Source organism: Homo sapiens, chromosome 6 (assembly GCF_000001405.40).
Source record: "Homo sapiens chromosome 6, GRCh38.p14 Primary Assembly".
Classification (NCBI taxonomy): Eukaryota; Metazoa; Chordata; class Mammalia; order Primates; family Hominidae; genus Homo; species Homo sapiens.
In genome coordinates, this window is record NC_000006.12 from 106763733 (window position 1) to 106790097 (window position 26365).

Consider the following 26365-nt stretch of genomic DNA (forward strand, 5'->3'; position numbering starts at 1 on the left):
AATGTGCATAATGCTACTGCAGGCAGATTACTAGCATTCATGTTTATCCTTCAAACCCCCCCACTTCCCACAAGGTTATATTTCAGCTCCTCATACATGATCAACCCAATCCCAAATCCCATTTTGAGGCTCTATTTCCTAGTGAAAATTCTAGTATCAGTTACTGTATCAGTCTCATTGCCAGCAAGAAACAGGTGGTACATTCAAACTAGGATGATTGAAAGAGGGAGGTGTTTACAGTGGTGTAGATGGGGCACAGGGAAATCCCAAGAGAGAGGGTGATAACCAAGAGCTAGCAGTGGAGCATAAAGAAAAGAGAGGCAGTGACCTTCAGTCCAGAGACTCAGACAGCCTGTGGCAACCTCACAGAAACAGCGCTGAGGGAAAAATCACCTTGACTTCACCCTTTCCCTAATTTCCAGTCTCCTGCCAGGGATCCCCAGTGGCCATACCCAGGGCAAAGCTAGAGGCAAGGGAGCCAGTGGATGTAGTCAACTATGTCAGCCTCCTGGGTAGAGAGTGGATCTGGAAGGGAAAATGCAAAAATCTCAAACACATTAGGAAAGGCAGTGATGTTCTAAACAACCTTAGTATGAGGTGCTTGTGCAAAGCAGGTACTTACATGGCTCAGGAGATTGGAGGAAATTCTGGGCTGTCGTATAAATCTGAAAGCTCTCAGCATAGAGGCAAGGCAATATGGGTGGTTGAGATGATTTAAGCAGCTAGGGTGGGAGAAGAGGATCTAAGGTTGAACCTGAGGAGTTCCAATGTGTAAAGGTCAGGTAGAAGAGGAAAAGCTGGCAAAGGGACAGAGAAAGAGAGCCAGAGAGAGACACAGCTGGGTGTCTTCCAGGAGAGTGTGGTAGTTTGGATACCAAGAAAAATAGCTTTTTCCAAAAGAAGGGAGGGTCAACTTTGTTGAAGTAGGCTGAGAGGTCATATAATACAAAGACCAAGGAGTACCCATGGGATTTCGGGCCATGGAGGTCACTGGGTCCTTCAGCAAAAAAAAGTTCTAATAGAGGAATAGGGAAGGAAGCCAGTTGGAGAAGGCTGATAAGTAAACAGGCAATGAATAAGGGCAAACAATGATTGTGCACAACTCTTCCAATCAGTTTAGGAGTGAAGGGGAGGAGAAAAACAGTAGAACTGAACAGGAAATTTGGAGTCCAGGAATAGAATTTTTTAGAATGGGAGTGACTGGAACATGTTTAGATGCTGATGAAAAGGGCCCATTAGAGAGGAACAATTCAAAGATAGAAAAAGGGGAGGATTTATAATGTACCTTTCCTAAGAAGGCTGGAATCCATGGCATAAGAAGAGACTTGACCTTTGTAGGAGGAGAGACATCAGTTCCATTTTGCCAGATGGGAAGAGCAAAGGATGGGCGCAGAGGTGCAGGTTGGTTTATAGGAGCCGGTGGCAGGAAGTGAGGTAATTGCTACCAGAGCGCATCTATTTCCTCTGTGAAGTAAGAACAAAGACATCTACTGGAGTGAGCGATGAGATGGGGGCTCAAAGCTTTGAGAAGTGGAGAAAGTTTAAAATGGTCGTTTCAGAGACAGAAGGGTGAGGGACAAGAGGAGGACGGTGAGATTCCCTAGGGGTGAGGGAGGTTTGAGAATCAGGGAAGGTGGTGACTGGGTGCAGGCTGTAGGCTGGGATATTTCTCTCTAGTCATACTTTGCTGCCTAGGGAGAGACATAAATAAGAAAGTATGCTGTTGAGTTCTTCTAGGATACCCCCCGCCCAGGTGGACGTGATGAAAGGAAAAAATAGGCCAGTAAGTTTAGGGTATTGGCAAGACAGTGACTAAGATAATGGACTGTGGAGTTTAATGTGGCTTCAAAGAGAAACAAGGGCAGAGTGGGTTAATGGATAAGGAAAAGTAGAGTGGCCAGGGTCTAAGGACCTTGTGTGGTGAGATGCAGAGCAGGTGTGCAAGTGGACTGGAATGAGGGAGCTGTCATCAGAGAAGGAGATGGAAGAGGTAACAAGATCCAGGTGCCACTGAGAGGTGGGTGCTGGAGGTAGTGAAGTAGATGAAGGCATTGAGAGGCCAGAGTGTTGACTAGGTCATCCATGGGTACAGTAACGCTTCTCCGGAGGATGACAGGGTTGAGGTGTGAGGGAATACTAGAAGCAAGAAGGGAAAGTCCTTGGGGAACAAGAGGGAGTTTCCGGAGACCAGTGGACAAGAACAACACTACCTGAACTTCAGAGGAGCAGCCATTTTTACAGGAATGCTTGGGGGCTGCATTAGGGAATGAGGGGGCAGCCACATCCACATCCTAATCTAGGATATCTAGGGTGTGGAAAAGGACTCCAGAGGGCTGCAAGAAAAGCAGTGCTCTCTGGGTAAAGAAGAGTTTTAATTCAGGCAAGGAGATGGAGGAGAAAATATCAGGGTTGAGATACCAAGGTCTCCTGAGATAAGCCAAGGCAGCAGAAGTAACCAGGGAAAAAGAGGTGATACTTCAACTTGAGTATGTTTGGGTCACAGCTTGTGAAAAGAATTGCCATTAAAATGATTTCAAAATCAGTGTCTGTCTCCAGAAAGCGCTATGCCTTTTTCAAAGATGCACACGTACTCCCAACTCCAGTTGTCCTTCACTTTCAGTGGTGGCCTCTGTGTGTGTGCTCTGGCTCTGGAGAACAATGCCTACCCAGCACTATTTTCTCCATGCTCAGGGCTGTCCTTGAGTTTCTTTCGTTCCAGCTGCTGTTTGCTGAGGCTGGCATGATATTTACCTTCATCTCTTTATTTCCTAGTTTACCAAACACCATGGTTTCAAAAGAACCCCCCGCCCACCCCCATCACCACCACCAAGGATTGCTTTAGGCCAGTGTTCTCTGGATGGTTTTCTCTATGTCTCTGTCTCATCCCATCATTTGACCTTGACTTTGTATTGTCCTGCAGTGATTTTCTCCATGCCATTTTACCTCTGCTTCACTTTGGCTTGGGTATCCCCCCTCTGCTTTCACCCATTCTCGGCACCTCTAGAGCAAGGAGGGGGTTAGTGGGCAGTGAGGGTGCCTCCGAGGTTAACAGGTGCATGGCAGTATAACTGACATCTGTTATTTATAAAAGAGATGACATAGAACTAAACTCTCAGGACTTTTATTTGCACCTTGGATGACGAAACAAATTCTGCAGTTAACATTAAGAAAAACAAGTCAATATGTAAACAGTAAAAGTGAATTTACCAATTTTTCCTTCTGCCTTCCCAGAAACTCTTTTTTTCTTTCACTGTGACTTGATTACTAATTCTAATCTAGAAACGAACTCTAGATTAGAATGCTAGGTTAGAATTAGTAATCATCTTGACAACTAGGTAATCACAAGTGTTTGCCATTCTCATTACCCAGGAAGTATACTCATACCACATAGTGGATAGGCCAACTAGAACAAAATCCAATCAGGTGTGAAAAATGTACTTTGGGCCTGGTGCAGTGGCTCACACCTGTAATCCCAGCACTTTGGGAGGCCAAGGTGGGAGGATTGCTTGAGCACAGGAGTTCGAGATTAGCCTAGGCAATACAGTGAGGCTTCATCTCTACCAAAAATTTTTAAAAATGACCTGGGTGTGGTGGCATGTGCCTGTGGTGGCATGTGCCTGTGGTCCCAGCTACTCAGGAGGCTAAGGCAGGAGGCTCGCTTGAGCTTGAGAGATTGAGACTGCAGTGAACTGTAGTAGCACCACTGCACTCCAGTCTGGGTGACAGAGTAAGACATTGCCTCAAACAAAACAAAACAAAACAAAAGGTACTTAGCAAACTGGTTTCACTATGCAACAGGATAGCTTAGTCACATTAGAAGTTACTGCCATCTGAATATTTCCAACAAAAATCTTCTCATAATTTTTAATTCATCAAATTCAGTGTTCCCTCTTTCATTTTTTGTTATGATTGTTTTGGATTTTGTTGCTCCTTTTGTTAGAGTCCCCAATATTTTCTGGGTGGTCCTGTGACTGGATTGACTTTATCATTGGCACTATGTGTATTATTGTCTATCACCTAAAATACTTACAAATGGTCTCAAACACACCAGTTGCTGCCTAATAGAACATGCCTCATTTGAGGAACTGGAAGATTGTCTAATACTAGAGAAAGTCCCATGATACAGGCAATCAGGAATTACTAAATTCAAATCAAAGCTTCAACAGCAACTCAATGGGTTCATCATTTGCTCTTTAGCAACACAAAATAAATTAAGGCATAATTAACTGTTGCTAAGGGAAATTTACTCCTAAATTATCAAGATATGTAACTCCAGAATCTCCCTAATATCAGAGGCCCATGTTAAGAAATTGTATAGAAACACAGACTTGAAGGTACCCAACCAGTATCAGTTCTAAAATCTCATTGCTACTACCTAAGACAAATTACCTTTTTCCTTATAGGTACAACTTAATTTGGTTAAATCAGGCTAAAGCGAAGGACTTACACTCCTTGATCAAGGGAAGAGTTTTCTTGTTTTCTCTTTCTCCTGCTAGATATGACCAGGTATGCACATGTATACTTGACACTTGAAGGGAACTGACCTTAAGGTGAAACCTTTGACAAGAAGAGCAGAAGAGGGAAGGAAAGACATGGGTCTGTGTTGGCATCATTGGGCTTCTGAATCAACCAGCTCCTGATTTGTTCAGCCAGACAAGTGTGCAACTCAACACTCTGTTTAGCTATTCAAGGTGCAACTTAAAAGTCCTGAGTTTAGTCCTAAAATTTCAGTTTTGTGAAATAACAAATTTCCTTATGTTTAAGTCAGTTTGATAAGTTGTTATGATTGTGATGATTGTTGTTGTTGTTACTTGCCACAGAAAGCATCAAAAGTGCCACAGGGACTTATTAGTTCCTGACCCATGTAACTAAGGGCCCCCACCAAGAATGTGTGCATCATTGTGGGGGTAAATCCTGCCAACTTTTTCTTCATTCCACTCAACCCGATTCTTGATAAGGGGCTATCTATGTTTTGGGTTAGCTTTACTCTAGCTCTTTTTTGCCTCATTTTCTCTAGCTCCCAGAAATCTATTCTCTATCTAAATATATCTTTCCTTTAAGTAGAATTGAAGCTAAAGTCAAATCAACCTAATACTTTCAAAATATTATGGAGCCCGTCTCAGGGTGGCCTGAAAGAGGACTGTCAGATCCTTCAGTAGGAAAAGTATACTCTAGACTTGTTTTCTGGAGTCAGCAAGATTCTGAGAAGAAACCTGTGGAATTTTTTCAGTGTCGGCACTGCCTCTGAATATCTGTACCCTCATCTCAGGCCCTATTATCCTTGCAGAAATTCTTGGTCTGTATATTACCTTGTGTCTTGTCAGTGAGTTGGGTGGGGCTGGGTTTTGGGTCAGAGACATCTAAATGGCTGAAATAATTCTACTGGGAGTTTGCTGAGGTTACTGTTTTTGATCAAACCGGAAGATTTTCCTGTCAATATTTCTTTTCTTTCTTTCTTTCTTTCTTTTTTTTTTTTTTTTTTTTTTTTTGAGACAGCATCTCACTCATCACCCAGGCTGGAGGGCAGTGGTACAATCACGGCTCACTACAGCCTTGACCCCCTGGGCTCAAGTGATCCTCCTGCCTCAGTCTCCTGAGTAGGTGGGACTACAAGTACACACCACCATGCCTGTCTAATTTTTTAATTTTTTTGTAGAGACTGGGTCTTGCTATGTTGCCCAGGCTGGTCCCGAACTCCTGGGCTCAAGTAATCCTTCCATCTTGGCTTCCCAAAGTGCTGAGATTATAGGTGTGAGCCACTGTGCCTGGCTTTCCAGTCAATATTTCTTCAAATACTTTTTCTACTTCATTCTGTTTCTCTTCTCTTTCTGGAGCTCTAAATATACATATGTTAGACTGCTTGATATTATCCCACAGGATTTTTAGGCCCTATTCTTCTTTTTATTCTAATCTTTTTTTCTTTCTGATTAAATAATATCCGTTGACTGGTCTTCAAGTTCACTGATGATTTCTTATTTATTTATTAATTTTTTTTTAATGTTTCTTTTTGAGGCAGAGTCTTGCTCTGTCACCCAGGCTGGAGTGCAGTGGCGTGATCTCAGCACATGCAACTTCTGCCTACTTGGCTCCAGCAATTCTCCTGCCTCGGCCTCCTGAGTAGCTGGGATTACAGGTGCCCACCACCACGCCAGGTCAATTTTTGTATTTTTAGTAGAGATGGGGTTTCACCATGTTGGCCAGCCTGGTCTTGAACTCCTGACCTCAAGTGACCTGCCCACCTCGGCCTCCCAAAGTGCTGGAATTACAGGCGTGAGCCACCGCATCCAGCCTCACTGATTTTTTATGTTGTGTTCATTATGCTGTTAATTCCAAACTAATGCATTTTCAATGTCAGATATTGTATCTTTCAGTTTCAGGATTTCCATTCGGTTCTTTTTTAAAGTTTCCATAGCTCTCTTAAAATTTTCCATCTCTTCAGCTACTACAGATATATTTTCCTATAGACTCTTTAACTTATTATAGTTATTAAGTCTTTTGTAATTCTAACATCTGGGTCACTTGTGAGTCTATGTTTATCACCTGTTGTTTCTCTTCACTGTAGGTTACATTTTCCTGATTCTTTGCACAATTAGTAATTTTTAAAAATTGTATGCTGAGCATTTTGGATGATATTAAAAAGACTTTGGAGTCTACTATCTTCCTTAGAAGAAATTTGACATTTGTTCTATCAAGCAGTTAAATTACTAGCATAGTCTTGATCCTATAGAGCAATGCCATTCAATAGAACTTCCATGATGATAGAAATATTCTGTAGTCTGTGCAGTCCAGTATCATAGCCATTAACTACATGTGTCTGTGAACATTTGAAATGTGGCTAGTGTGTCTGAGGAACTACATGTTAAATTTTACTTAGTTTTAATTAAATTTGAAATGCCATGTGTGCCTAGAAGTTACTATATTGCATAATGCGGCTATGAAGAGTTGGTTTTAGGCTTTGTCAGGGTGGGCCTATCTTGGTTTTGCCTTTATTCCTAGGACATAGGCTTTAGTCCTGGGGAGTAGTCATTACTCCTTCTGTAGTCTCAGTAGAAAGCTTTAGGTGTTCTCCAGAGTCCTCTAACTTGGTGAGAACTAAACCCTAAGCACCATCTGCTCAACACAAGACAACACCTTTTTAGCCTTCCAGCTGTTATTTTTCCCTCAGCTCCTTGAACCTCACCCAGATGCACAGTTTAGGAATCAGAGAAGTTTGTACACAGATTTGGGAGCTCCCCATCTGAGACTCCCTCCTTTGCGAGATTCCCTCCTTCCCAATCTCCTGCTACTGTGGAAGCCCCAAATTCTAACCTCTAACTTTTTAACTCAGTAGAACAGCCACTTTCTGCTGAGCTCTACCTCCGTCCACTGCAGGAAATGGATAGCGCTGCTGAAGGAAAACCTGATAAATGTGTATCTCACCATATGTGATTTCCTTTTTTCAAGGGTCATGTCTTCAGTTTTTGTCTGCAGAACCAAACCATGTTGGCCAGTTTCAAGAACCTTCAAACAGGTTTTGTTGTTATCATTGTGTTTTGGGTCCAGAATTTACCACTGTCTTTGGCAGAAGGTTTAGTTAGATATAATTTACTTGGCCATTACTAGAAGTTGAAACTTATCTGAATGGCCAAAATTAGGCACTGAAATACCGAGTTTGATGGGAAAACTTGGCTACACTCTCCTCCTAGCATACACTGCCATGTCTATTTGCATCAGAAGGGGCTCAGTATTTGCTGAACAAATCCTGAAAGCTGAAAACTTTCTTGAAGGAGTCATACTTTGACTTTGAAGCATTATCAGTTATTAATAATTTAGAATGGAGAATCCTTTCCCGAAAGTGGGTTTTAATATGGGTTAATGAGAAAGAACAGGAGCTTCTTGGGTGTATCTGTCTTCTTCTCACAAGTGGCAAAAAATCTGCCATGACTTTGTCTTAAATGAAAAGATAATTTATCAACCAGCTTAGGTTAAAAATTCCACAGTAAGACTGGCTCCAGGCATAGCTGGATTTAGGGCTCATATATAGTGTTATTAGAACACAGGTTTTTTGCTTTTTTGTTCTCAGCTTTCAGATCTGCCAATTGCGTTGTTACAATTAATCCCAGCTTCCTGTAGCCACAAGAGGATGGTAGCAGCTTCAGCCACACACCTTCTCTGGTGTACATTATAGAGGGAAAAGTGAGACCCTCTTTCCTGGAAGTACCTGGAAAGATCTCACTGCCTCTCATAGGTTCCACCTGGGTCATGTTCCCATCCCTGAATTGGTCATGTGGTCACGAAATAGGATAAAATGATTGGCCCAGGTGTGACTCACATGCTCCACCCCACAGTCCAAGAAGTGTCATTTCATCAGATCCCCAAGGACTGAGAGGAGAGTGGGAGAAGTTCTCCTGATAAATATCTTGGTTCTTTGTTAGAGATATCCTGGGGCAGAAACAACAGAAGCTCACTAAAATGGGTACTGGAGGAGAATGGAACGAAGACGCGTAGTGGGGGTTAAAAGCTTACACACTAGAGAGGCAGAGAACCTAAAAGAGAAATGCTGACTCTTTCCATTTTGCCCCTTGGCTCCGGGCTGCTGGAAGCAGGTGCTGTGCGATATCACTGCTTCATGGTTAGCATGCTTGGGGACCTGCAATGAGAGAAATCCATGAAATTTACACACTGCAGCGGTATCTTTAAAAGGTATCAGGTGGAGAATAGCTTTTAATGTGGAATCCAGGCCCCAATTAGAGGCTTATTCCATTGCTAAATTTGGTTTGGGTTCAATGCCCACTGACCTCTTGTCCCTAGAGCATTTCAACACCGTAATGAATACGCAGGAACAAATCCTCCTTTCCCCTGCCCTTTCTAATGGTACATAATCTCTATACCATTAGAAATCTGAATTATTTTTCCAGATAAAATTGCCAGGCCCTCCTCTCAATCCTTTCCATTAGTGAGGAAGCAATCCAAGGAAAAAAGAAGCCAGTGCCAAGTGCAGCCATGCCCTGAATGTTCACTCGGCTTAGGCAGCATCTGACCAGCATCCCCCAAGGCTACAAACCAACTAACAGCTTTTAGGGTAGGGAGAATTGCCTTTTCTCTCTCCTTCCGGAACACCAGGGAAAACATAGAGGACCCTAGAGACCAGTGGAAAATACCTTGGGAATCCCTAATTCACTCAATCCTCATTGGTTGCTCCTAAGCACCTTCTACTTTGAAGTTTTGAGTAGCCTAAAGAAGGACTTCCCCTCATGACTAGGAGGACTCTCCCTGATTTTTAAACAATGTCTGCACTGTTTAGGGACTTATATTTTTCTCCAGTAAACAGGCTTCACTTTTGCCACAAAAAATAAACATGGGTATGCAAAATTTAAGTATTCCCATCAAGCTTTTCTACCTTAGTCTCTAGCTGACCAGTGACTAACTGGGAAGTCGCTGCTCACAGGATCTCAGGCTTTTTCTGTCACTACGAATAAATAATAATAAAATAGAAATACATTTTTAGCCAATTTCAAAATGCAACAGGGCAGGTGCCTCCTGGAATGAAGAATTCCTGCAGCTCCCTTCATACTGGTATTCCGCATGTGATAAACCTCTAGTCCTTTCAGGAAATTATTCTGATCCTTGCTTGTTTCATGAAACAACCAGCTCCCTTCCCTGAGTTTCGCCTTCCTGAGGAGCTGGTCTCTGGAAGGGCCAACTGTTCTGCGTCCTGCACTGGGGAACTTCGGGTAGGTTCCCACTCCCACTACCCACCTGGCTTCTTCACTTTCTCTGCCCTCCTACCGCCCTGAGGACACCTGCTGCTCACTGCATTCCCCAGCTTTGTTTGTTTCCCCCATAAGATTACTGGACAGGTGCTGTAATCTTTGGTTTGCTGGGCAGTTGCCTCGGTGCAGTTGCTGTGACCTGCACTCTTGAAGAAGCAGACTTCTTCATTATTCATGATGGCCTGGAGGTCCAGTTACCAGCAGCATCCACCGCAGAGGCCAGACTGAAACTTGTTTAGCCAGTTTCCTTCTTTCCCTGGGCTGTTCCAAAACTGACACACACAGACTAACAAAAACTCTGAGAGTTTCTGTGTTCCCAGGAATTAATCCCACCAGAACAAGCCTCGGTCTGTTGCTAAACTCTGATTCTCATTTCCTCCCCACCTCCCTTTGCTACAAAGCTATGGACCATCAAGTTTTAATGCAGTGTTGAGCTGTTGATTAAAACAGCATGTTATCTTCAGAATGTCAGACAACATATGACAATAAAGTAGGCATAAAATATCAGGAAAACAAATGTGCCCCTGCGTCTGCACTGGATGCAAATGCACAAATGGCTGAACTTTAAAAGCTTCCATGTTCCTAACAAGTCTTAGAGCATTAGAATTGATGGTGGTGATTAGGTTGCTTTTCAGAGCAGCAAAATCTGTATAACTGAATCCTTATGGGTTTAGCCATTCTCAGCCCAGGCATATTAACTTGGCCCGCTGTGAGTCTGCTTGTGTATACACACATGCAGTATTTAACCATGAGCGCAGTGGGCCCCAAATTAAAACCATATTTTGTTAGCATCACATGTTCCAGCTTTGACAGTATTTATCAAAGGGGACGCTGCTGGATTTATTGAAAGAAATGAACTTTGCCAGGGTCTGGCAGACTCAACCCCAGTAGGGAGTTGTTATTTTTACCCTCTGTGCCCAGCAGTGCTGTTGCTGTTGGCTCAAGGCTGTTTGCTCACTATGGGCACAGTTTGCTACGTACGGATCCCTCTCCGCTGGTCCAGTGTGCCTGCCTCCCAGCAGCCTGCACCTCGTGGGATGTCATCAGCTCCACCTCCATGTATTCTTCAAAACCTTGTTTATGTTCCCTTCTTTTCTGTGAAGTCTTTGCTACCTAAACCCAAGGTCATTTCTTCTTCCTCTGATCTCGCCAGCCTGGGTCCAAGAACAGCTGGTAGAAATGCAGATTCTCAGGCTCCACCCCAGACATCCTAAATCTGCATGTTAGCAAGATCCGTGGGGGCATTCAAGGGCACATGGAAGTGTGAGAGGTGCTGCTCTGCCTCCACTTACCATCTCTACTGGGGTCTCTCAGTGGGAGTCCTGCTACCCCAACAGGGGCATTGAAAATGTAGAGAGGATGTTTTTGACTGTCACAATGTTGAGTGCTGGCGGGGAGGACTACTAGCATCCATCAGTGGGGTCGATGCTGGACAGCCTGCGATGTACGGTACACTCTCATATAGGGAAGAACTGGTTCATACGTCACACAACTTTCTAAAGAGCTGCCAGGCAGTCTGGTGGGTGAAAAAATCTATTTTTAATTATTTGAGCCTGGAACCTAATTCCTGTTTGCACACAGAGTTTTTTGTTTGTTTGTTTGTTTTTGAGACGGAGTCTGCTCTGTCACCCAGGCTGGAGTGCAGTGGCATGATCTTGGCTCACTGCAACCTCCGCCTCCCCAGTTCAAACAATTTGCCTGCCTCAACCTCCCTAGTAGCTGGGATCACAGGCACCCGCCACCATACCCAGCTAATTTTTATATTTTTAGTAGAGATGGAGTTTCACCATGTTGGTCACCAGGCTGGTCTTAAACTCCTGACCTTAAGTGATCCACCCATCTCGGCCTCCCAAAGTGCTGGGATTACAGGCATGAGCCACCACACCCAGCCCCCTTTTTATACCCAAAGTATTGTTTGCACAGTTTTAATACACACCAGATTTCTAGGAACTCAACTTTTGTGAAAATTCAGGGAAAAGCGTTCTTTGCTTCGTTCAGAACCTTACCTTTAGTCACTGCTTTGGAAACACACATTATCCACAGTCACGCTGCTCCCAGTGCAATCTCCGGGACAATATATCTCTATTAGTTTGCATTTGTAGCTATCCCAGTCATAGCAGTTTTGTATCTGACTACTTCATTGTGGTTTTTGGTGTAAATGTGCCTGAACATTTATATGTTGAAACACTTTTTTTTTTTTTTTTTGAGACAGAGTCTTGCTCTTGTTGCCCAGACTGGAACGCAACGGTGCGATCTCGGCTCACTGCAACCTCTGCCTCCTGGGTTCAAGCGATTCTCCTGCCTCAACCTCCTGAGTAGCTGGGATTACAGGGATGTGCCACCATGCCTGGCTAATTTTGTATTTTTAGTAGAGATGGGGTTTCTCCATGTTGGTCAGGCTGGTCTCGAACTCCCGACCTCAGACTTTTTTTGTTATAAATTGCTTTTATTTTATTTCTTCTTTATATCAGAGTTAAGGAATTTATTACACTGATTTTGAGTGAGTTATGTCGTTCATATGTAAGTTAACTATATTATTCATGAATTCCAGTTCAGAAAAACTAAGAGACCATTTGAAATTATTTGTTATAAAAAGGGTTTTGAGCCAGGTGCAGTGTTTCACACCTGTAATCCCAGTACTTTGGGAGGCTCAGGTGGGTGGATCACCTGAAGTCAGGAGTTCGAGACCAGCCTGACCAACATGGTGAAACCCCGTCCCTATTAAAAATACAAAAATTAGCCAGATGTGGTGGTGGGTACCTGTAATCCCAGCTACTCAGGAGGCTGAGGCTGGAGAATTGCTTGAACCTGGGAGGCAGAGGTTGCAGTGAGCTGAGATCATGCCATTGCACTCCAGCCTGGGGGACAGAGCGAGACTCTCTCTCAAAAAATAATAATAATAAAAATAAAAAGGGTTTTATAGGTTGGGAAAGTTGCTTGTGTGTATATCCTTCAAATGGCTCTTGTTACTTATTGTCTTGTAATCTTGAATATATTTTTAAGAGACCATGAATCATCTGCCTACTAGATTATAAGTATCCTTAGGGGCTGGGAGCAGTGGCTCATGCCTGTAATCTCAGCACTTTGGGAGATTGAGGCGGGTGGATCATTTGAGCCCAGGAATTTGAGACAAGCCTGGGCAACATAGCAAGACCCTGCCTCTAACACACACACACACACACACACACACACACACACACACACACACACAAGTATCCTTAGGGTGGGACTGAGTTTTATAAACTTGGTATTCTACTCACCACTTAGTTCAGTGTAATGCATATTATCTTAGTCTGTTTGGACTGCCATAGCAAAATACCACTGACTGAGCGGCTTAAACAACAAACATTTATTTCTCACCATTCTGGAAGCTGAGAAGCCTAAGGGGGTGCCAGTAGATTCATTGTCTGGTGAGGGCCCTCTTCCTGGTGTGCAGATAACTGCCTTCTTGCAGGGCCCTTACATGGCAGAGAGAGGGGGCTCTGGTCTCTTCTTCTTATAAGGACATGAATCCCATCATACGGCCCCCACCTCTCATGACCTAATCTAAACCTAAATGCCTCCCAAAGGCCCCAACTGCAAATATTATCATATTGGGAATTAGGACTTCAACATATAAATTCTGGGGGAGGGCACAAACATTTAGTCCATAGCATACATATTGAACAATAAGTAATTGATCATATGACTATGTGAATACCACTCCATCCTCTCCCCAAATGCTCTTGATAAGGTCCTACTATGTGCAAAGCACTGATAGGCTGGTGACAAAGGTCTTTAAGAAAGAGTTTGGTACTTTGTTACTCATGGGCCAGGCACAAAGCTCAACACATAAAGAATTTTGATATGGAGGCTGGAAGTAGTCCACAGGGGAAACAGAAACAAAATTCTGTGGGATTGTAGAGAAGGAAACAATTCCAACACAGATGAGTGTGGAGTGGCAAAGGCATTCATGAGTTCCTTTCCTTATATTTGTTTTTATTTATTGGATTGCCCAGTATCTTCTTTGCCCCATTGAATGTACGCTTCTTGAGAACCAGTCTCAAGTCCTCAAATTTCTTCATATTGCTGCCAAGCTCCAGTTTGTGTCAAGCAAAATCCCTTCTGTTTCTTGGAACAAATTCCATAAGCACAGTCTTTTCAACTGTATATAATAAGATGATTGTGTGTGTGTGTGTGTGTGTGTGTGTGTGTGTGTGTGTAGGCTAAATTGGTCTAATAGTCAGGGGATCTGTATTTTATAGTATTTTACTTTATTTTATTTTGAGATGGTCTTGCTCTGTTGCCCAGGCTGGAGTACAGTGATATGAACATGGCTCAGTGCAGCCTCAACGTTCTGGGCTCAAGCAATCTTTCCACCTCAGCCTCCCAAGTAGCTGGGACCACAGGTGTGCACCACCATGCCTGGCTTTTTTTTTTTTTTAATAGAGATGGGGGTCTTGCCATGTTGCTCAGGCTGGCCTCGAACTCCTAGGCTCAAGTGATCCTCCACTGTGCCCAGCCTGGATTTTAACCTGCTGTTATTTGATGAGATCATTTCACCACACTGTGCCTCATTTTCTTCATCAGCAGAATAGAGAGGAAGGGCTAGAGTGATGGTTCCCAAACTTGTCTGTTTTGGAGGATATTTTTTAAAAATACATAGTTCACTGGGCTCTGCTTCAAACTTGTTGAAACAAACTTTGGGAATGGAGCCCAGGTAACTAGATTTTAAAGTATATCAGGTCATTCTGATAGGTGGCCAATTTGCTTTTCAAACTTCAATGTGCCTACAAATCACCTGGGGAATCTGGTTAGGATGCAGATTTTGATTTGTCAGGTCTGAGTAGGATCTGAGAGTCTGCACTTTAACAACTCTCAGGTGATGCTGATGCTGTTGATACATGAACCACACTTTCAGTAGCCAAGAATAAAGCATTTTTAAGTCTTTCAGCTAAATATTCTCCACCTGCATCAACTGCTAGTGAGTAATGTTATACAAGATAACCATTAAAATTGTCCATATTTAGTGTAAGATGACCTAGCTAAGTTAAATTGTCATGACAGAGTATGGAATCATTATTAGTTTATTTATTTATTTTAGAGATGGGGTCTCACTATGTTGCCCAGACTGGTCTCAAACTTTTGGGCTGAAGCGATCCTCCTGCCTCGGGCTCCCAAAGTGTTGGGATTACAGGTGTGAGCCACCACACCCAGCCCATTTTCTTCATTTACAAATTGTAAGTGATATTTGCACAACCATAAAAAAGAATGAAATTATGTCCTTTACAGCAACATGGATACAGCTGGAGTCCATCATCCTAAGCAAATTAATGCAGGAATAGAAAACCAAATACTGATGTCCTCACTTGTAAGTGGGAGCTAAACGTTGGGTTCTCATGGACACAAAGATGGCAACAATAGACACCGAGGACTACTAGTGGGAGAAGGAAGGGAGACCACAAGGGTTGAAAAACTAACCATTGGGTAATATGCTCACTACCTGGGTGATGGAATCAATCATACCCTAAACCTCAGCATCACATAATATACCCATGTCTGTTACCAAAATGCCAGAGGTTCAGTCTAGGTCCTGCTGCTTGCCACACAAAAAGCCAATCGCTGAGACAAAGAGTATTGCCAGGGAAGAAGGCTTTAATTGGGTGCTACAGCCCAGGAGATGGGAGATCAGTCTCAAATCCATTTCCCCGACTGACTAAAATGAAGAGTTTATATAGCAGGGAAGAAATGAAGCCATGTGTGGGAAAATAGGAGCTCAAGAGGGGTAAGGAAGAGGAGTTGGTCAACAAGAAGCAGGTGGCCAGTTAGGCAGTCATGATAGGTGAGGGGCTCTGGTGTCTCACTGTCCAGATGCTATGATCTGGTAAGTTTTAGTTCCTTGCCACTATCTGGGAGGGTTGATGGTTGGTTTCCTGAGAAAGAAACTCATATAAGACAAATGTAACTTTCTCAAGTTTTAAGACTGGGAGGATCAATTTCTATGTTTATTCAAAGAAACCAAAAACATCAGTTCTATGGGACAATTGGGCTGGTTTTAGTCCTCCACCCCTCTTTCTACTTATCAGTCCTTGATATGGTTTGGCTGTGTCCCCACCTCTCATCTTGAATTCCCACATGTTGCAGGAGGGACCCAGTGGGATATAACTGAATCATGGGGGCAAGTCTTTCCCATGCTGTTCTCATGATAGTGAATAAGCCTCACAAGATCTGATGGGTATATAAAGAGGAGTTCCCCTGCATAAGTTCTCTTTCTTTGCCTGCTGCCATCCATGTAAGACATGACTTGCTCCTCCTTGCCTTCTGCCATGATCATGAGGCCTCCCCAGCCATGTGGAACTGTAAGTCCATTAAGCCTCTTTCTTTTGCAAATTGCTCAGTCTCAGGTATGTTTTATCTGCAGTGTGAGAACAGACTAATACAGTAAATTGGTACCAATAGAGTGGGGATCTGTTGAAAAGATACCCAAAAATATAGAAGCAACTTTGGAAAAATATGGAAGCAACTTTGACAGAGGTCGGCACAGTATGGAGAAGAAGACAGGAAAATATAGGAAAGTCTGAAACTCCCTAGAGACTTGTTGAATGGCTTTTTCCAAAATGCTGATGATATGGACAGGAAATCCAGGCTGAGGTGGTCTCAGATGGAGATAAGGAACTTGTTGGGAATTGGAGCAAAGGTGACTCTTGCTATGTTTTAGCAAAGAGACTGGTGGCATCTTGCCCCTGCCCTAGAGATTTGTGGAACTTTAAACTTGAGAGAGATGATTTAGGGCACCTGGTGGAAGAAATTTCTAAGCAGCAAAGCTTTCAAGAGGTGACTTGGGTAGCATTAAAGGCATTTAGTTTTATAAGGGAAGCACAGCATAAAAGTTTGGAAAATTTGCAGCCTAACAATGCGATAGAAAAGATAATTCCATTTTGTGAGAAGAAATTCAAGCCAGCTGCAGAAATTTGCATAAGTAACAAGGAGCCGAATGTTAATCCCCAAGGCAATGGGAAAAATGTCTCCAGGGCATGTTAGAGACCTTTGCAGCAGCCCCTCCCATCACAGGCCTGGAGGTTTATGAGGAAAAAATGGTTTCATGGTCTGGGCCCAGGGTCCTTCTGCTGTGTGCATTCTAGGGACTTGGTGCCTGTGTCCCAGCTGCTCCAGCCATGACTAAAAGGGGCCAATGTACAGCTCGGGCCATGGCTTCAGAGGGTGCAAGCCCCAAGCCTTGGCAACTTCCATGTGGTATTGAGTCTGCAAGTGCACAGAAGTCAAGAACAGAGGTTTGGGAACTTCTGCCTAGATTTCAGGAAATGTATGGAAATGTCTGGGTTCCCAGGCAGTAGTTTGCTGCAGAGGTGGGGCCCTCATGGAGAACCTCTGCTAGGGCAGTATAGAAGGGAAATGTGGGGTCAGAGTCCCCACACAGAGTCCCTACTGGGGCACTGCCTAGTGGAGCTGTGAGAAGAGGGCCACCATCCTCCAGACCCCAGAATGGTAGCTGCACTGACAGTTTGCATCGTGTGCTTGGAAAAGCTGCAGACACCCAATGCCAGCCATGAAGGCAGCCAGGAGGGAGGCTGTACCCTGCAAAGCCCCAGGGGTGGAGCTGCCCAAGACCATGGGAACCCACCACTTGCATCAGCATGCCCTGGATGTGAGATGTGGAGTCAAAGGAGATCATTTTGAAACTTTAAGCTTTAACTGCCCCGCTGGATTTCAGACTTGTATGGGGCCTGTAGCCCCTTTGTTGTGGCCAATTTCTCCCATTTGGAATGGCTTTATTTACCCAATGCCTTTACCCTATTGTGTCTAGGAAGTAACTAACTTGCTTTTGATTTTACAGGCTCATAAGTGGAAGAGACTTGCCTTGTCTTGGATAAGACTTTGGACTGTGGACTTTTCAGTTAATGTTGAACTGAGTTAAGACTCTGGGGGACTGCTGGAAAGACATGATTGGTTTTGAAATGTGAGGACATGAGATTTGGGAGGGGCCAGGTGCAGAATGATATGGTTTGGCTGTGTACCCACCCAAATCTCATCTTGAATTCCCACATGTTGTGGAAGGGACCCAGTGGAAGGTAACTGAATCATGGGGGCAAGTCTTTCCCGTGCTGTTCTCATGATAGTGAATAAGCCTCATGAGATATGATGGTTTTATAAAGAGGAGTTCCCTTGCACAAACTCTCTCTTTGCCTGCTGCCATCCATGTAAGACATGACTTGCTCCTCCTTGCCTTCTGCCATGATTGTGAAGCCTCCCAGTCATGTGGAACTGTAAGTCTCTTAAACCTCTTTCTTTTGTAAATTTCTCAGTCTCAGGTATGTCTTTATCAGCAGCGAGAAAACAGATTAATTCAGTTCTCCATCATGAGGAATCTGGTCATCAATCTTTTTGGCTGCTTCATGCTGAGGAGGGGCATTGTGGGCAGCTCCATACCATGGCTGAACACCTGGCTACCCAGGAATCCAAGGTTAATCTAACACTATAATTTTCTTCTGAACCACAATCTTTCTCCCCTGCAAGTTCCCCCTCCTCCCCCAAAGACAAATCACTGCAGGGCCATTTTTTCTTGATATTACACAAACATTTTATCCAAAAGTAAAAAAAAAAAAAAAAAAATTTACCCCAATATAGTCTCAGGTATTTTGCTATAGCAGAACAGACAGACTCAGGCACTTTGCCTGCTCACCTCTTATCTTCAGGTGAGAGGCGTCAGGCATCTCCACCCCACAGTCCTGCTGACAGCACCCTAACATACTCACAGGCAGGAAGCAGGAACGTAGGGGTGGGTTCCAGGGAAGAGAGGTGTCATGATGAGAAACACTTGTGGGGCCTGAGCTGACCTAGGCGGCCGAGGGAGGGAAAGAGCATCAGGCAGGAGAACCAAAGTGGACATGAGGAAGAGAGGAAGGTGGGCGAGCCCCTGGATGAGAAGGGGCCACCACGATGCCAGGCTCACCTCTGCCATTGAATAGCTGCTCGGTGACTCCTCACAGTCTGCAAAGCAACCTCCTTATAATCTATAGCTCACCAAGTCAGACTACCAATTTAGGACGTAAACAAGGCTGAGGAATTTTATCTTTCTTCCCGCAATCTAGGCACTCAGTCTTCCCTGCAAACTTGTGCGTCTCATGACAGCCACACTTAAGGACAGCAGCGGGCAGCTGGAGGATCATTCCCTCTGGCTGCTGCCCCAGCTGTATTTACCTCTGGGCATAGTGACTATCTAAGATCTGGAACAACCTCTAAGAACAGGGTACAACCTTGACGTCTGAGAGAACATTACAGCTGGGGAAAGCTTGCTCCAGCAACTTCCCCCTCTCACTGTGTTCTCTTTGACCTCTTTATCACTTTTCCTGAAAAGGGAGGGAGCTGAGGAAAAGCATACAAGTCGCTTGGGTTATTGAGGCCAGAGGAAAAGAGTTCCAGATTTAAACGATATCAGTCCAGCTATAAACCACGCGATCCGCTGAGTATCAACTGACATGCAGACACAAAAGTGAATCCTCGCTTAAACTAATGTGAGGGGAATGAAAATTATTCTGCTTTTACAGGAGCACTGCCTGGCTGAGCAGGCGGTCTGGGCCAGCCACACAGAGATTGGTAGAAGGACTCCTGTCCCTGTCGACTCACAGCCAATGGACTTGGCTCCTTTCTTAGGGCCCTCCAGGATACAGGCTCCCCATTGTGCCTTGAGAATGAAGTCCATTTGCGCTGAAGAGGGAAGAGGGAATTTTACATTTGCTTACATTAGAAGGCACTGTAGCCAATGAGAGCCAAATAACCCAAGAGTTTTGGCACTAGGAGGGACTTTAGGCCATTTAATTCACACTCATCATTTTAGACAGATGAAACTGAGAAAGAAAGACGGAAGAGATTTGTACAAATTCACGGGTAAATCCTCAGCAAAGTTGAGTCTAGAATCTGGCAGACACTCAGACCCTCCTCCTCCCTTTCCCTGCTGCCTCCATGGAAAACTTGGTAGTTTTCCTGGCTTGTTGTGGTTTTCTGAAAGCCCTTGGATTATCAGAGCTCACATTCACCTAGGCTTATTTCCTCAACTCACCAGCTGGGGCTGAATGAGGCTCAAAGACCAGTGGGAAGAGAGTGCTTGCTGAAGGGTGCATGGTAGACTGAGAGAGAGGAACTATGAATTAGATTCATGACTTTACACTACCTACTTGAGAACTTCATTTTCAAATGTGCAAGGAGAAACAGACGCTCTTACTACACCCAACTAATCATTCAGCATGTGTCAGGTCCAGTGAGGAGGTGAACAGATGCAAACAGAACTCTTGGGGCATGCTTGATTCTGCATCAGTAAGCCATGATCTCACCATAAAAAATATCAGTCACCTCCTGTGGTTGGACACAAGTAGAGACTGTAGGTCCCCACCCTGATTAGCTTGCTACCAAGTGGAGCTGTTGCAATAAATGCAAGTCTCAGCTCAGACCACATTTCATCAAATGCAGGGATCTTTGTTAGATACCAGATTATATTAATCTTTTAAAACCTTGCTAAGAGGAGAGGTCTCTCTCTCTCTCTCTCTCTATCTCTCTCCTTGCAACCTCCGGCTCCCCCCAAAAAAAACAGCAGAAATACCCAGGCAAGAGAGAGTTGCTGTCCTTTAAAAGGTCTCTTTCTGCCCCTCCTATGCACCCTCTTTCCATAGGTGATGAGTCACAGGGCTCAGGGAATGTGTCTGCACCTGTGACTCATCACCAGTGGAAAGCCCATCCCATATCCCACCTAAACCACTCTTTGGTGCCCAGGATCCCAAGGGCCCTGAACTCACTTCAGGCCTCTTCAGGGGGTCTGAGTCCTGAGGATCATCTGTCTCATGGCTGTCCTCATCCCTAGGCCACCAGGCAGCCATTTATAAAGAATGGGCTATGCAGACTGGGGTGTCTTTAATATGGGATGAGGGATGGAGCTGGGAGCAGACAGAGAACGGAGACACTGGGACAAGCAGATGGAACTCTGAGTTGAAGAATTCTATATCCAAACTTGATATTCTAGGTCCCTCTGAATATATATTTTTCAAGGCAAGAGGATAGAGTATGTTCTATATTATGGTTTCTTAGCTGGATTTATAGCTTTTAGATGTTTAAACATATGCTATGTGGGTCTCCATTTGCACTCTTGCCCCAGCCTGCAAATGTTGGAGACAAGTTTTTGAAGCAAACGCAAAGACTGGTTTCCTATGGTTAGATGGTGGGGGGCAAGGGGAGAGTGGTCTTATCCTTGGAGATGTCACACCAGTGGGCTCTAGACTCCCAGCCCTACACAGATGGCATAATTATTGGGCTTGATCATTTTTATCCCTTATTCACACAAGACAATTAGTCCCATTAGATTACTCCTAACCAAACAAAAAAAAATCTGCTGGTTTGCCAAATCAACAATTACTTTTAACACTTTTGTGTGCAAATAAAGGAAACTCAGTTGTTGACACAGACTAGAGTTCACTTTTTTGTGTTATCCATTAATTAATCAACCCTAAAGAGTAAAAGCAGATTAGGATTAATTGGTTTACACACATATTCCATTACTTATACTACAGTATTTAAAAATAATGACCACAAGGCCGGGTGCAGTGGCTCATGCCTATAATCCCAGCACTTTGGGAGGCTGAGGTGGGCAGATCACTTGAGATTGGGAGTTCGAGACCAGCCTGACCAACATGGAGAAACCTCGTCTCTACTAAAAATACAAAATTGGCGGGGCGTGGTGGCGCATGCCTGTAATCCCAGGTACTCAGGAGGCTGAGGCAGATGAATTGCTTGAACCCAGGAGGCAGCGGTTGCGATGAACTGAGATCGCACCATTGCACTCTAGCCTGGGCCAACAAAAGCGAAACTCCATCTCAAAAAAAAAAAAATAATAATAATAATAATAATAGTAATAATGACCACAAATACAGCATAGCAGCCAGCCTGCCAGAGTCCCCCTTTTGTTTCTAAACTGGATACACCTACGTGGGGTGGTGGCTGTGGGCAGCAGCTCTCAGGATGAGGAATCTACAAGACTCCAGAAGCCCAGAACAAAGGCTCCTCTCCCCTCCAGAAAGGGCATGCCAGCCCCTAGGATGATGTATATCACCGTTTCAGACAATCCTTCTTTAACCCAATAAACCACATCCCCTAGGCCTATGCCCCAGGTTTGGGGTTCTAAGAGACTTACTGCACAATGTTTACGTAAAATCATTCTTCTTTTCTGTGCTGGTGCTCCATATTAAGCAACTTCCCTTTATCTGCACTTATGTTACAGGACCTAAGAATTTTCTACTTACATCCACTTAGGGGCTTTCCATGGGCAAATCTGGCCATGACCCATCACATGCTGTTTTTCCAGCTCTTTGCTGTGTTTACTTTTCATGTAAACTTGGGTTATTCCAATAATTGTTTTTCGGTAATTTGGAGAGTTACAGGAATGCAACATTGAGCCCAAGAGGCAAGATCAAAACTAAAATTTGTGACATTAAATATCCAAGAGTTCTATCCAAAATCTTCTAGAAAGTTAATGAGAACCCCAGGCAAATCAACTGGAAGAAAAATATTTACCATTTAGCACTAGACAGTTGCAGGTACAAATCTTAGTCTACAGAAATGTCGACAAGCTAATCAGTGGGTTCCATTCCCATTCACCCAGGACACACAATACCACATTCAAGAATTCCCTAATGAATATACAGTTCTTACTTTCTCTGTGACCCACCTCCCCCACACCAAGTCCCCAGATACTGGAGACAGGGAGCTTCAAGTGGAGCACCACATATTCTCCTAAATCTCTTGTATAAGTCAGAGTCCTTCCTTTACACACAAGGGCTTTAAAAACTCAAAAGCCAGGAAAATGGGCTTCTATATCTCTGTCCCCTGTTGACTATCCCTTCACTAAGACAATGAGGACAGAGTAACCTTGCTCAAAAAAGCAAGAAGTACTTTGGGAGGCCGAGGCGGGGGGATCACCTGAGGTCAGGGATTCGAGACCAGCCTGGAGAACATGGCAAAACCCTGTCTCTACTAAAAATACAAACATTAGCTGGGTGTGGTGGCACATGCCTGTAACCCCAAATACTTGGGAGGCTGAGGCAAGAGAATCACTTGAACCTGGGAGATGGAGGTTGCAGTGAGTGGAGACCATGCCACTGCACTCCAGCCTGGGCAACAGAGTGAGACTCTGCCTCAAAATAAATAAATAAATAAATAATAAAAACAAGAAGAGAAGTAGGTGAGAGGGTTAAGAAAGAAATACAGGAGGAAAAAAACTATATAATACTTCAAAATTAATATCCAACCATAATACTAACAGTTTTGAATATATTTCCATATAGCCTGTTGATAAAAAAAATCTTTCTTTAAAATATAGATATGATTACAAGCCTCCAACAGTTTCATGTTCCCCACAAAGGAAGTATTAGAAAGATCCTCCTACATTTGGAAAATGAAGTGCTGGCACCACTGAGATATTTGTCTGGGAGACCTACTATTTGCATGGGCAGAGAAAACATTCACATGGAATATTCAACCACAAAAGCATCAGATCCTGGGAACAAAACTAACAATTTCCCAAACACTTCCAAAACATAGCTCTGACCTCTACTCCATCAAAAATTCTGATTTAATTTGAGGAGATTCTGCTCTATTTCTTAAATCAAATGTCCCTATCTCTCTTGCACCGTGAATGCTCTGAATCGACCAGTAAGACAAGAACAACATTAAAACCAACAGTGAGGGCAGTTTCAGCATCATCTTGCTCTCCTCCAAGACTTCCCCTGGTTACCTTGCTCCTTTCTCCCTGCCAGACCTTGAGTTCTCTTTTCCAAAACATGGCTTGAGCACCTCCTTGAAGAAGTCTTCCTCATGTCTCTTATCTTGTTCTAATCATCCCATGGCTAGCGTAAGTAGCACAGATCCCATCTGCATTCCAGCTATATGTGTTCCTGTTGTTTCTTCCTGTCTTCTCATTAGCCTATAAGCTCTATTGTACAAGGTCTACACACTCACATCCACTGTAGTACCCATAACCATGTTGCACAATATTCTGCATACAGAGGGAACTTAATAATTTTTGCAGTTTGACTTTTGGGTCTCTATTCTGGCTCCTGGGTAATCATTTATCAGCAAACAAATTAGTTATCAGTGAAACAGCCATGGTTTCCAGAGTTAATCATTTGTATTTCCACTGCTGGAAAAAACAACACATACCACTTTCCTTGCAGAGAGGCATGCGGTCAGAACGTCACTGGCAGATCTCGCCTGAGAGTTTTGACGCTTGTAACTCTGCCCTGGAAAGGTGAATCAACTTTTATTTTGATTCATGTGTTTTTCCAGGTTCCTTTAGCCTAAATGCATAAAAGTCAGAGAAAGTCATCACCATAATACTGATAACAACAATGACAAAGATATACACATACAGTCAGTGGCTGAACACCCACCAGCAAGATTGCTGGAAACCAAGCCGCACCACACCTGCCGGAGCATCCAGGACCATCTACTCAGTGCAGGCTCAGCAGCCATGCCTACCTTTGTCCATCCCAGGTATGGCTCCCCCAGGTGCCAGGGCTACTTCTCTCTCTTCTAGTGGCTGCTCTTCCTGCTGGCACGCAGCACCTGCCTCCCAGCTCTAAGCCTGTGGGGCAGCCAGGAGAGTCTTGCCTCTGGCCTCCGTTGGTCCCATACTTCCTGGCGAGTGGCTTTGCACGGCAGCCCAGCCCTGGGGAACTTTTCAAGGGAGAGGGCTTCTTTCCCTCCCTAACTCCCCTACCCTCACCCAACCCCACTCCATACTGGCCCTTTACCATCGCCAGTTGTTGCCTTGCCAGGTACTGTGGAACACCTACATCTTTCCCTATCACAGGGCTTGGACACACAGGCGTTGGAGTCAGATACGCTGTGTTTCAATTTTCAACCCCCTACACCAATTGCTTCTCTTTTCTGAACCTCAATTTTGTCATCCACAAAATAGAGATAGTATAATAATACCTGCCTTATGGTGGTGTTGTTAGAATTAAGCAGTAACGTCACTCGTAATGATAACAGCTGTACTGACCAAGGGACTTGTACGTGCTGGGTGCCATGCAGTGTTTTGTACCTCTTCTTGGAGCCCAGCATGGCGTCTAGCCCAGAACAAGTAGTCTGCAGCTTCCTTCCCCCTCTTCTTCTTTCTTTTCTCCTCCCTCCTTCATTCCCTAAATCAAATAGGACCTGGGGGTGCAGCATCTGGTCCCTTATGGGGGCTTTTTCCTCTCTGCAGCATCTTCCCTTCTTCTACAGGCCATCTGAGAGAACCCAGACCCCTACCCCCAGACTCTCCGCCCACTAGAAACAGGAGCCTTTTCACTCTCCTGCCCAAGTCCCCCACCTAACAGGGTAGCTCCATTTCTGTTTCCAGCCAGGTTTCCAAGCTCCATCCCCATGTTGGGGCTCTGCACCTGGTGTTCTGTTGCTCCAGGGAACACAGATGGCCAATAGCTAGAGATAAGGTCAGCTCTGTGTCCTCCTGGACCACAGAATGTGCCCCTAAGAGCCCTTTCCTTCCACTTCAGCACACAGGCAGGCCATTTGCACCAGGAATGCTGCAAAACACTGACTGGACACAGATAATCAATGCTTAAGCATAATGGTCTCCAACGGAGCAGGAGAAGGTCAGGAACCAGCAGGGCATAGCCATCCCCCTATCCTGGGGGAGGCAGTCAAGAGGAAGGGCCCCTGGGGAAAGAGGGAGCTGCACCTCGCATCAGGGGAGGGGGTGAGTGGAACACCAAGATTTACTGGACTTCAGGGGCCATCCTATTGTGGGCTAGCCTCTGAAGAACCTTTAGTAGATTTTGCCACACTTGGCCCTGGCTCTGGTGCACATGCCTCCATTGCCTCAGCAAGGCTGCTGAGCTCTCCCTCTCCCTCTGTTCCATTCTTGCTTACATAAGGCCCTGAACAGCATCTCTTTGTATTTATTCATATGCACCAAATCTCATCCACAACACACTTCAATAGTCATAGACACTTTAAATCCTACTGTTAAAATCCATTTCCTTGCTTCTATGCCATTCCATTCCTTCCACTCCCTCCCAGTTGTTCTCAAAGGAAACCATGCATCAAACATTTGAGCCTCCCTCATCAGTTCTTACTCCAAGTCTCCAGGGCCATGTGACTGTCTATGATCTAATTTCCTGTGGGGTCAATATACAATTCAAACACTTCATCAACAGACCACAGCAACTGTGGCCTCCACTTTCTACCTTCTTGTCCTGGGCAGGGCTAGGCCTGGTCACTTTCAGGACACTGAGACTCTTTCCTGCCGTCTACATCAAAAAAAGGGACCACCCGCAGCAGAGGCAAAGACTTCAAGAATGTGCCCTGATGGACAGTACTTACCTCCCTCTGTCCAGGAGGACAGGAACAGCAGAAACTCTCACTATCTAACAAGAGGAGAAACAAGGTTGGATGTCTCCAGAAGTTGTGAAAGTCAGAGAAATCATACGAATAAACAGACACTAAGCTCTGGTGCAGTCTAAGTGATTTATGTTCACTGTATCTTTACAATAATCCTGGGGTTTAAGTACTGTTACTCTCCACTTCCAAAGTAGACAAGTAAATAGCAGACAAGTAAATGGAGGCTC

General features: G+C 44.3%; 1 long non-coding RNA gene and 1 other non-coding gene across 4 annotated transcripts in view, besides 2 other annotated features; one reads left to right on the plus strand and one right to left on the minus strand.

The window, feature by feature from the left end:
• LINC02532 (long intergenic non-protein coding RNA 2532) overlaps window positions 1-23809 on the minus strand; it is a 70090-nt gene extending 46281 nt beyond the window's left edge. For all 3 annotated transcript variants that reach the window (NR_033557.2, NR_147987.1, NR_147986.1), the window contains exon 1: window positions 23527-23809. This is a non-coding gene — a long non-coding RNA (long intergenic non-protein coding RNA 2532). The remainder of the gene's footprint in view (window positions 1-23526) is intronic.
• Window positions 203-252: an enhancer, noted in NCBI's record as "active region_24894". NCBI's record gives its function as "activates an Ori minimal core promoter by ATAC-STARR-seq in GM12878 lymphoblastoid cells {active_cell/tissue: GM12878}" and the evidence as "EXISTENCE:reporter gene assay evidence [ECO:0000049][PMID:35858748]".
• Window positions 10468-10968: an enhancer, noted in NCBI's record as "H3K4me1 hESC enhancer chr6:107222075-107222575 (GRCh37/hg19 assembly coordinates)". NCBI's record gives its function as "activates a minimal SCP1, AML or CMV promoter by ChIP-STARR-seq in primed H9 embryonic stem cells {active_cell/tissue: H9 hESC(primed)}" and the evidence as "EXISTENCE:reporter gene assay evidence [ECO:0000049][PMID:30033119]".
• MIR587 (microRNA 587) lies at window positions 20393-20488 on the plus strand. Its single transcript, NR_030314.1, has one exon. It is a non-coding gene; the product is annotated as a microRNA 587 (primary transcript).
• Window positions 23810-26365: the final 2556 nt, after the last annotated feature.